At 45.1% G+C, this 12,497-nt stretch overlaps 1 protein-coding gene across 3 annotated transcripts in view, besides 1 other annotated feature; it reads right to left on the minus strand.

Annotated features, from left to right (window-relative positions):
- The window catches only part of TBC1D8 (TBC1 domain family member 8), a 144,155-nt gene that overhangs the window by 113,388 nt on the left and 18,270 nt on the right, over positions 1 to 12,497 (minus strand). The window lies entirely within an intron of this gene.
- Positions 3,848 to 5,047: an enhancer, noted in NCBI's record as "P300/CBP strongly-dependent group 1 enhancer chr2:101740925-101742124 (GRCh37/hg19 assembly coordinates)". NCBI's record gives its function as "activates an origin of replication core promoter dependent on BRD2, BRD4, P300/CBP, MED14 and CDK7 cofactors, with strong dependence on P300/CBP, by STARR-seq in HCT116 cells {active_cell/tissue: HCT116}" and the evidence as "EXISTENCE:reporter gene assay evidence [ECO:0000049][PMID:35650434]".

The following is a 12,497-nucleotide window of genomic DNA, read 5'->3' on the forward strand; positions in this document are numbered from 1 at the left end:
TGTCAGTGTCATTCATCAAAAAGCTAAATGCAAAAGGATACAAGGCCCATGCAAAGATGTCGATCTCAGGTTCAACCTCGTGGCAGAAACACTGGGTAGGACACAAAGTCCCAGGAAGCTCTGAACAGAGCCAAGTGCCCCATGGGCAGTGACTCATGTCTGACCTTAACAAGAGCTGGCTCACAACCACGGGCTAGGGACATAAGGCCATTAGAAAGTACTCAGAGGGCACAGCACATGTACACATGCACACTCCCACGCCCAGAAGCATGCCTGAGTGGGACAATGACACCTGAAAGCTGAGAGCTGATCCCTACACTACAGCTGGATGTGTAGCAATCATTACAGGGTATCTTTACGTTCATTTTTTTAAAAACTCCTTAGCCCTATTAAATTCAGCTGCCTAGAAATACTGAACTCACAAGTAGCATGATAACGTTGAAGAGCCTAACCTAACAGATCCTATGAACGGGCAAACCTCCCTCTTTTCTAAGAAAATATATTAAAGTATCTCATATCACTAAGGCGCTCTTTTGAGGAAAAGAAAAAAATAAGAGAAAAAGAATTCCAAAGGACTTTGTTGACAAAAATATAAAGTAATATTCTATTCCATCCTTTATAAGGTTGTTATCAGCTGTGCCTGTTTGAACGTGTCATTCCAGTCCCTCCCATCATTAACTAACACATATCAGACATATGACACGTGCCAGGGACTGCGACAAGCTCCACCCACTCATCACCTCTGTTTAAGCCTTGCCACACTAGAGGCGGACACAGTCCTATCCCCGGGGCTCAGGGAGGCTCTGTAGCTGCTACAAGGTCACACAGCAAAGAGTGGGAGAGGGACTGGCACTCACATCCCAGATTCAGTGTCTGGTGACAGCCCATTTCCTGATTTAAAGATGGTGCCTTCTAGAGCTGTGTCCCAGGACGGTGAAAGGAGCGAGAGAGCTCTCTGAGGTCTCATTTGTAAGGGCGCTAGTCCCATCTTAAGTGCTCCACCTTCAAGAAAAGGCCCCAGCTGCTAATACCATCCTGCTGGTGTTTCTGTTTCAACATATGGATTTGGGAGGGACACAAACATTTAGACCATAGCACAATGCTATTATTCCAGTAAGTGAAAAGACACAGGACTGATATACAGAGTTCAATTATATAAACGAAATGCGGCCAGGCACAGTGGCTCACGCCTGTAATCCCAGCACTTTGGGAGGCCAAGGCAGGCGGATCACCTGAGGTCAAGAGTTCGAGACCAGCCTGGCCAATATGGTGAAACCCTGTCTCTACTAAAAATACAAAAATCAGCCAGGCATGGCGGCAGGCGCTTATAGTCCCAGCTACTTGGAAGGCTGGGGCAAGAGAACTGCTTGAACCCGGTAGGCAGAGGTTGCAGTGAGCTGAGATCACGCCACTGCACTCCAGCCTGGGCATCGCAGTGAGACTCCATTTCTTTTTCTTTTTTTTTTTTTTTTTCTGAGATGGAGTCTTGCTCTGCCGCGAGGCTGGAGTACAATGGCACAATCTCAGCTCACTACAACCTCTGCCTCCTGGGTTCAAGTGATTCTCCTGCCTCAGCCTCCCAAGCAGCTGGGACTACAGGTGTGCGCCACCATACCCAGCTAATTTTTGTATTTTTTAGTAGAAACGGGGTTTCACCATATTGGCCAGGCTGGTCTCGAACTCCTGACCTCATGATCCACCTGCCCTGGCCTCCCAAAGTGCTAGGATTACAGGCGTGAGCCACCGCGCCCGGCCAAGACTCCATTTCAAAAAAAAAAAAAAAAAAAAAAAAAAAAGCATGGATAATGCCAGGAAATCAATACAAAAAGGTTAACTGTGGGATTATGAGTTTTTCTTTTTCATTTATTTTTCCAATTTCCTACAATTGACATTTATTTATAAAATCATGACAGAAAGCATCATTACATTTGTTTTCTCATTTAAATAGCTAGTTCATGACTGAAAACAATCTTTTCCAATAATACTCTATTGACGATTTTGTTACGTTTCATTCCCAAGGACAGCCAGTCCTTTTGATAGCTTGGTTGCATAAATGTAATACTGTACATGAAACCGAAATGAATTGAAAACTCATAGACTATTTGAGTTTTCAATTAAAGGATTTAAAATAAACTTTTAAACAAAACAGTCCCCCCAAATTTTGAAGACAGATCCGCTTGCGTTTTTCAACAGTGTGCAGTTGAGAGCAGCACCACCGCGAGCCCTTCACATTGGTGTCAAACACTGATCAAGGTGTAAAATGTGCTTTGCCACAGCCGGGAATATAGACTTGTATGGTGGTACTTGTTGGAGAAAAACATCAGGCCCCGCATGTGGTACAGCGATGTGATGTGGGTGTGTAAGCAGCTGCCAATCAAAGGCGAAAGGCACAGCACAGTGTCAAGCCAGCACCTGTGTCTACCAAAACACACAGGTACAAGTCTTAGGAATATATACCTAAAACAGAGCAGGAAACTGGGCATGGTGGTGCGCACCTTGTAGTCCAAGCCACTCAGGAGGCTGAAGCAGGAAGATCACTTGAGCCTAGGAATTCCAGTCCACAGTGAGCTATGGTCACCACTGCACTCCAGCCTGGGCAACAGTCATCGTGACCAGCCTGGGGAGTCTTTAGGCTTTTCTAGATAGAAGATCATATTGTCAGCCAACAGGGATAATTGGACTTGCTCCTTCCCAATGTGGATGCCTTTTATTTCTTTCTCTTGCCCGATTGCTCTGGCTAGGACTTCCAGCAGTATTCAGCGGTTGTACATAGTGCAAATTAGCACTGTGGCTAATTTGCTTGGCGACCGTTCTAGCAGTATTCAGAGTAGGCCACAACCACAAAAATATTGTGGAGCCACTGCCCCAAGATGCAACTTCTCAAGCACGCTCCAAACCAGTGTGCACGGCTAAGTCATGTACCTGATCTCACCTGCCCCCGTGACAATCTGTGGAAGCTGTGTTCTTGGGCTGCTTTACCCTGTGATTGAGTCTCACCACTACTCCAAAGACAGAACATGCTTCCCACACACTGGAACAAATCACCTTAAGGACCAGTATACTGTCACAGATATAGGTCTACCTTACAAAAAGAGAGGAGTCAGTTGTTCGCTTTGTTTTGTTGGGGCTATACTTACAGCTACAGTCTTATGATAAAGGAACAGCCACATGGAGAAAACACATAAAGGAAGGTCCTGCAGAGCCCCTGACAGGGAGCTTCCATGGCCTCTCCCTGTGGGTCAGGGGGCATCCCCCTCCTGGCACATCAGCATACTCACCAACCAGGAAGCTACACCAAACCTCGGTGTTTAGAGTAATGAAACTCACCAGAGTTTTATTATGTAGGCAGGAGTGATTAAAACATCGGCCATGGACTTGGTGCTTGGACTCAATCTCCAGCCCCTGTTGTCCTGTCCCTGGATTCATTACTTCGATAGACAGCTGGTTGTTTAGATTCAGCAAGAGGCTCCTGGAGTAAGAACTGAAGCCATAAACCCTCTGTCAACCAGTGAGCACTTCCCTCCCACTGCCACTGGATCTCCGACACCACACAAACACAAGATCAGAGGCCACCAGAAACAGCAGGAGAGAGGAGGTGGAGGATGCATTACAATCTCCAACAGAAAAAGAATTCAAACCTTCTCTCTTTCTGTACACACATGTATAAAAGAATTGTCATGATTACATAGGGCATCTAAGCAGTGGGTGACTAAGACAAGCTCATTTCCTATCTCAAGGCTCTATAATAAATGCTTCAAATTTCCTAAAAATAATTTCTGGAGAGCGCTATAAGGGTTGCTTGCAGGCTAACCAAGATGAAAACTACCACATTTCTAGTCTCCAAATCCAAAAATACTAACACTAAAAAACAACTCTTCCAATTTAAGGAAAAAAACCTGCTGTTAATACAGTACACTCCGCTGGCTGAGGAGATGTGGCAAGGAATCTAAGTAAACCCTCGGCTGAAATGATGAGGTCAGTTAGGGTTATCCCCCAAGAGAAGAGAACTTCTGCACATGGCAGCAGAGCCCACCATAAGCCAACCCTGAACTCAGGGACCAGATCAAATGTGACTTTTTCCCCAACTTGCTTAGGGACATGGTCCCTGGGTTGGTACACAGCCCAGGTCTATCAGCTGCCAGAAGTACTTGCAGTTCATTACTTAGGAAGCTGTGGAAAAAATACTACAATCAGAGAGTGATGAAGAGGCTGGGTGGCCAGGAATCCTCTTTCGAAGCATCTGGAGACGTGATAGGGCTTCCTACAACAACAGGACAGAAGGCCAAGTACCCACCAAGTGAGTCAGAGCCCTTACCTTCCCATGTGCCTTAGAAATAAGCTCTTCAATAACCAAACTATCCCACGGATAAACAATCTAAGATCACCAAGGTTCGTGACATTTGTGTGTGAATCCATTTCCTCTGAGCAAATGATATTTTTATGCCTGTTTGAAAAACAAGCAGCCTCCCATGACAAATGCATTCATCATCCAAACAATCAAGCAGCCTCCGGCCACTCCTCCGGCCAACATCACTTCCAGCCAACAAGAGCAATCTGGCAAAGCAGCACCTACAGAGCCCAGGGGGCACCCGGGGCCAGGGTTCAGATTCTGACAACACAATCCCACATTCCTGAACCTGCTATTCATAACCACTCCCTTCTAAGAGTACACAAGAAAAATAGTTTAAAAAAAAAATCACATTTTCCAGGTCTGGTGCAGGCAGATATGAATAAAATACTTACAGATTTATGAAACACTTGCAAAGTCAGGAATCTGAGAAAATTATACACACAGACATTCACTCACACACAGACACACACAGGCCTCCTTCCAGAAATTTTATTTCCACAAAGCACAGTATAGTGTAATCTATTAGAATGTCACTTATTTTAAAAATCCTTATTTCTGTTCCAAAGAAAGTCCTGGGTCAGCCCCGTGCCCTTACTATCAATGATCCTCTGAAAAACTAAGCCACAAACCACAAGCATTCAAGATCAGAAATAACGCATGTTAGGCAATGTTTCCTGTCTTTTTACACTTAACAATAGTGTGAAATAGCTTGCAGAGATGAGGTATAGACGCACCTTTATGGTGCAGCAATACAATGTAGAGCCCAGAGACTTAAGGATATCTAAATGTATTGTTTAAAAACCATTACCTTTCCTTAATGCCAGAGTGAGGCAGGGTAACCAATATCCACGCATTAAATTCAGAAACATTCCCGAACTTCATTTGAGTTCTTAGCTCTTCCTCCATCCACCAGACATTTTAATTATTAGCATTACCAGAGAGTAACACACTTGAACTCCATTCTCCTTCCCCTTGAGTCCCTATTAGGTTATAATGCTGTCTTAGTCCATTTGTGTTGCTATAAAGGAATACCTGAGGCTGAGTCACTTATAAGGAAAAGAGCTTTATTTGGCTCACAGGTCTGCAGGCTGTACAAGAAGCATGGCACCAGTATCTGTGTCTGATGAAGCCTCAGGAAGCTTCCACTCGTGGTGGAAGGTGAAGGGAGCTGGCATATACAGAGAGCACATGGTAGGAGAGAAAGGCAAGAGAGAGAGGAGATGGTGCCAGGCTCTTTTCAACAACCAGTTCTTGCAAGAATTCACTCTCATGAGTATGGCACCAAGACATTCATAAACGATCCACTCCCACAACCCAAACAGCTCCCACCAGGCCGTACCTCCAATACTAGGTGGGCATCAAATTCCAACATGAAACTTGGTGGGGCCACACAAACCATATCCGAACCATAGCAAATGTCTTGAAGGTAAGAATTCTCTACCACAAGCTTCTCTGCTGGGTACATATGTCCTGCCCATAAGCAAATCTTGGGTGAGCACTGGTGACTAACCAGCATCACAGAAAGAAAAGACAGATACCAGGGCCCTGTTACCAACAGCCTGGCAAATAGATGACCACACTGGATCTCAATTTACAAAATGGGGGTAACCAGGTGGCCTAGATAAATCTTGATAGATATACAGAGAGAGGTAAAGTAGTGAAAGCCCTATGAAAAATGTAATTCAATATGAAAACGTATGGTATTATTACTACAATGCTAATAAGCAATAAATGTTTCTCAAAAATAGGAAGACTGGAAGAAGGAAGCATTACAAGCTAAGCTGGCTGTTCTTCCTTGGAGAAAATGAAGATTGGTAAATAAGTAATAAAGACAGACAAGGTCAATTGTAGAAAACGGCCAAGTCTTGAAGTGAGTGGAGCAAGAGAGTTTCTCTGTCCAATTCTTTGAAGACAGTTTAATTCTATTTCTGAGCAATCAAAAATCACATCCAGTGCCCCTTCCACCTTCTCATCTCCTTCGCAGATGTGGATGGCCCCAGGTCACAAGGGCTTGGGGGTTGACTCCTCATAGGTATTGGAATTCTGGGCTAGAGCCAGAGAACAAGCTGTTAAGAAATTGAGGCCCCTGGCCAGGCGCAGTGGTTGATACCTGTAATTCCAGCACTCTGGGAGGCCGAGGCAGGTGGATCACGAGGTCAGGCATTCGAGACCAGCCTGGCCAACACAGTGAAACCCCATCTCTATTAAAAATTCAAAAAATTAGCCAGGCGTGGTGGCAGGTGCCTGTAATCCCAGCTACTTGGGAGGCTGAGGCAGGAGAATGGCTTGAACCTGGGAGGCAGAGGTTGCAGTGAGCCAAGATCCCACCACTGCACTCCAGCCCGGGCAACAGTGCAAGACTTCATCTCAGAAAAAAAAAAAAAAGAGAAAGAAGGAAATTCAGGTCCCATATGGCCCTAAAGATCTTAGAATGACAAAAACTCCAGTCTGGGCTTTTCAATCTCTCAACTCACTTCATACACCACTGAGGAGATGGGTCTACCACGTGTAGAGAACAGACGTCAGTATGGAGAAAAGAAAGCACTCTGCAATCAAAAGAAGGCTACCCACAAACCTAACACTTTTTTTGAGACAGGGTATCACTCTGTTGCCCAGGCTGGAGTGCAGCAGAACAATCACAGCTCACTACAGACTCAAACTCTTGGGCTCAACCGATCCTCCCACCTCAGCCTCCCAAAGTGCTGGGATTACAAACTTAGCAACCACACCCAGCCTTGTTGACCTTTTAGCACCATGAGAAATCAGAGAGATGAGTCCAACCTCCTCATTGGATAGGTGAGGAACCTGAGCCTGGAGGAAGTTGGTGGAGGATGTGAGGGTCACAGCTCCTGAGTCCTGCTCGGAGCTCTTCCCATTGTTGCTGCTCTACCCTTCGGGAGCCTAGGACCACACACACAGCTTACTTAATGAATCCAGAACCACAAACAGGTAAGGACAGGCTGATGTTAACTAAGCACACTGGCTGTTAAGCCTGTCCCAGATACTTCAGATCCATTTTTTCCCCAATTACTCATAACATTCTTATTAGTTACATTATTAACTCCCTTTCACAAAATAAGAAACCAAGGTCCAAGGTCATTCAGGTTAATAAGGACAAGATTTCTTTTCTTTTCCACCTCCTAATAGTCCTATTCTTTCCCCCCAATAACCTTAGGTATAGATGTAACTGAGAACATGTTAGAAAAACTACCAAATACAGATTAAGCATTCCACTCCATATCTTAGTTATGAAAAACAAAACTACATGAAATCCAAAACAAATGACTGAACAGTAAACCTGAAAATGCCCCAAATCAAATTCTAATTCTCATTCTTTGTTTTTAAGTCAATTGCAATGCACCTCTAAACAAGCTTCAGCTCTCTTCAATTCTCCACTCAAGCTTCCTGGGAAGAGTAATGAGGGTCTCAGGGCCAGGCTTAGGGTACTCAGGAAGCCAGGGGCCCATGACTGGGGCCTCAGCCCCAGCAAATTCAGTACAATGCTAGCTGGGCAGTCAAGTCCTCAGAGGCCAGGAGAGACAAAGAATCAGGTGCAAAAGTCTAGGATTGTCTCAAAAAACTTAAGCACAGAATCACCATGTGATCCAGCAATTCCACTTCTGGGTCTATACCCAAAAGTGAGAGCAGGATCTCAAACAAATATTTGTACACCTGTTTTCACGGCAGCATTATTTGCAATAGCCAAAAGGCGGAAGTAACCCAGGGGTCCCTCAATGAATAAATGAATGAATTCTTTAAATGTGGCATATACATACAATAGAATATCATTAGCCTCAAATAATATTCCCTGAGAATCTTGAGAACCTTGATAACATTATGCTAAGTGAAATAAGCCAGACACAGAAAGACAAATACCGTGTGATTCTAATTATATGAGGAACTTGGGATAGTCAAATTCAGAGACAGAAAGTAGAATGATGGTTACCATAGAGGGAGGGAGCAGTGGTTACCATAGAGGGAGGGAGCAGGGGGAGTTATTTATTTAATGGGCTCTGACTTTCATTTAGAGAAGATGAAAAAGTTCTGGAAATTAGATGGTAGTGATGGGTGCACAACACTGCGAATGTATGTAATGCCACTTAAAAATGGTTAAGATGGTAAATTTTATGTTATGTATATTTACCACAGTTTTTGTGTGTGTGTTTTATTTTGTTTTGTTTTTTTTAAATTGAGATAGAGTCTTGTTCTGTCGCCCAGGTTGGAGTACAGTGGCACGATTTTGGCTCACTGCCAACCTCTGCTGCCCAGATTCAGGAAATTCTCATGCCTCAGCCTCCCGAGTAGCTGGGACTCCAGGCACACGCCACCACACCTGGCTAATGTTTTTGTATTTTTAGTAGACACGGGGTTTCGCCATGTTGGCCAGGCTGTTCTCGAACTCCTGAACTCGGGTAATCTGCCTGCCTCGGCCTCCCAGTGTTGGGATTACAGGCATGAGCCATGGCATCTGGCCCTGACCACAGTTTTTTTAAATATCTGTTACTTAAACCATTAAACAAACAAACAAGCATTTCAACAGTCGCCAGCCCAGAACAAAAGTAGCTGGAGAGATCTGGAGGAGCCAAGGTGGGCTGGAAGAAGGCAGCCAGGAACACCCACATTTCAGGGGTTTCTAGATTTGCTAGAAAGGGCTAGCCCAAGTCCGTGGCGGCTCACACCTGTAATCCCAGCACTTTGGGAGGCCGAGGCAGGCAGATCACGAGGTCAGGAGATCGAGACCATCCTGGCTAACACGGTGAAACCCCATCTCTACTAAAAATACAAACAATTAGCTGGGCGTGGCAGCAGGCGCCTGTAGTCCCAGCTACTCAGGAGACTGAGGCAGGAGAATGGTGTGAACCCAGGAGGCGGAGCTAGCAGTGAGCCGAGATAGTGCCACTGCACTCCAGCCTGGGCAACAGGGCGAGACTCTGTCTCAAAAAAAAAAAAAGAAAAGAAAAAGAAAGGGCTAGCCCGAGCCAAATCAAGTAACAGCATCCTCCCTCAGATCAGTCAGTGGACCTTTTCCTGGGCCCCAGCTTGTTCATCTGTAAAAAGGGGTACGAGCTGGTGGGCTCCAAGATCCCAGCAACGACGTTCATCCAGCCATGACCCTCAGAGCCACAATGACCAGGAGTCGCAACAATGAGTCGAGGGCCGGTCCTGCCATTGGGGTACTTGAACCCACAGCTGCTGGGGTTATTTTTAACTAAGAAAATGAGTCCACTTCATTCCAGTCACCTCCGGAAGGCTCCTGAGCTGCATCCCAAAAGGGAGTGAGAGCCGAGGAGGCCTGGAAGCGTCGATCGGGCCAGCTGTGCTGACACTTCAGTGGCTTAGCAGGGCTGGCCTGCAAGACAGGTGCCCGCGCCCTGAGGCCCACTGCAGGGTCGCAGAGGGCTAAGCTAAGCTGTGCTTCCCCTCACCAAGTCGGACCCTAGTGAGAAGGTGCCAGAAAGACTTCCAGGGGCAGAAGTTCCTCGCCCCAGTGCTTTTGATCCTGTCACAGAGCTTGCAGATGACACAGCCAACACAGGCAGGAACCTAAAAGACAGGGCTCAAAGGCCCTAACCCCCTTGACTAGATATTTCCATTTTCAAGGGCAAGAGCTACAAAAAGTCAATTTTTTGTGGTTCAGTGAAAACAGCACTAACTGTTTTAATGAAATAAGTTTAAAATGATGCCTGGGCTGACATATTTAGAAGGATTGGCAGTGCATATTTGAGAATTCCAACCCCAGATTAATCACTAGAGTAATCTTCAAGCTCCATGAGGATAGGATCTAGTTTTGTTCACTGCTACATCCAGGTGCCTGGGAAAGAGCCAGGCTCCTAGCAGCATACAGTAAATACCTGTTGAATGGCCTTCTTTTCCAAGGTCTTCATTCTCTTAATATCTAACTGTTATTGACCACAATCAAGCCCCAACCTAACACTGCAATAATGCATATACATTATATCAAAAACTCCTGTGTTGAAGTCATTTAATTTTAGGAAGGGATTAGATAAGATACCCTCATACACATCAAATAATACACAACCTGCCCTGCTGGGTGTGGCACCCAGGACCCCTGGGAAACCTCACCTCTTTATTTTATTTATTTATTTATTTATTTTTAGAAAGATGAGGTCTTGCTATGTTGTCCAGGCTGGTCTTGAACTCCTTGGCTTAAGTCATCCTCCCACCTCAGCCTCCCAAGTAGCTGAGACTATGGGCACAAGTCACTGAGCCCGGCTCCCTTACCTCTTTAAAAACAAGGTTCCAGGCCGGGCACGGTGGCTCACGCCTGTAATCCCAGCACTTTGGGAGGCAAAGGCGGGTGGATCACCTGAGGCCGGGAGTTTGTGACCAGCCTGACCAACAGGGAGAAAACCCATCTCTACTAAAAATACAACATTAGCCGGGCATGGTGGTGACGTGCGCCTGTAATCCCAGCTACTCGGGAGGCTGAGGCAGGAGAATCGCTTGAACCCGGGAGGCAGAGGTTGCAGTGAGCCCAGTGCGCTATTGCAGTTCAGCCTGGGCAACAAGAGCGAAACTCCGTTTCAAAAAAAAAACAAGGTTCTGGCCGGGTACAGTGGCTCACACCTATAATCCCAGCACTTTGGGAGGCTGAGGCAGTTGGATCACGAGGTCAGGAGATTGAGACCATCCTGGCTAATATGGTGAAACCCTGTCTCTACTAAAAATACGAAAAAATTAGCTGGGCGTGGTGGTGGGCGCCTGTAGTCCCAGCTACTCGGGAGGCTAAGGCAGGAGAATGACGTGAACCCAGGAGGAGGAGCTTGCGGCGAGCCAAGATCGTGACACGACACTCCAGCCTGGGCGACAGAGCGAGACTCTGTCTCAAAAAAAAGAAAAAAAACAAGGTTCCAAATATAGTTGTTCAACAAGAAAAGCTGGGAGTGGTTAGTTTCAGACTTACAATAAAGTTATTTTTCTGCAGAAATTTCCTAAATGAAAGGTTTTTTAAAAATTGTTATAGGTATATTTTACATCTTGTTAACACAGACTAAAAATACTTCAATCAAAGTAGACGGGTGCTTCCAGATTCACACATAAACTGGATTTGCATGTTCATTTCACTTTTTATTTGGAAATAAAGTCAAACTTAAAGGAAAACTAGAACTAAAATAAGACAGAGAACACTCATCCCCTCTCTGCCAAGACTCAGATTCATCTACTGTGAGCAGCTTATCCCATTCACTATATCATTTGCTATTTTTCTTTTTCTATTTCTTCCTCTAAATATAATGATACAATATGATATATGATATAATTACACACACACACACCTTTTCTAAATCATTTGAGGGGAAGCCTATTCCTATGAATGGGGACACTGTCCTACACAAAAGAGCAGTCATCAACTCCAGTGAATTTTACACGTGTATATCTGTATCTACCCTTCATATCCCCAAGCTGCCAGGTGACCCCATGATGTCTTTTATAGCACCTGCTCCCTTCAGTACAGTATGTATTCTGTGGTTCGTATTACATTGAGCTACCATGTCTTTTCAGTCTCCTTTAATAAAGAACTTTTCCAAACACAGCCTTTCTATGACTGACATTTTTGAAGACATAAATCCACATCCCATCCCTGTTTTGTGTTTGACAATTTTGATCAAGTTGTTTTGTTTGAGATAGGATCTCACTCTGCAGCCCAGGCTGGAGTGCAGTGGCATAAACACAGTTCACTGCAGCCTCGACCTCTTCGGCTCAAGCAATCTTCCCGCCTTGGCCTCCCAAGTAACTAGGACTACAGGGATATGCCACCATGCCCGGCTAACTTATTTTTTGTTTTTCAATTTTTTGTAGAGATGGAGTCTCCCTATGTTGCCCAGGCTGGTCTTGAACTCCTGGGCCCAAGTGATCCTCCTGCCTCAGCCTCCCAAAGTGCTGGGATTACAGGCGTGAGCCACTGTTTCTGTTTTTACTTTGCAATAAAAATATTCTTATATCTGCAATACGATTATCTTATTCAAATTTATAGATGTTTCTATAAATTTTTAAGTTTGGTTTTACTTAAAATGTACATCTCAAATTAGCTAGGCGTGGTGGCGGGCGCCTGTAATCCCAGCTACTCGGGAGGCTGAGGCAGGAGAATTGCTTGAACCCGGGAGGCGGAGGTTGCAGTGAGCTGAGA

This window comes from Homo sapiens, chromosome 2, assembly GCF_000001405.40.
Source record: "Homo sapiens chromosome 2, GRCh38.p14 Primary Assembly".
NCBI classification, from domain to species: domain Eukaryota; kingdom Metazoa; phylum Chordata; class Mammalia; order Primates; family Hominidae; genus Homo; species Homo sapiens.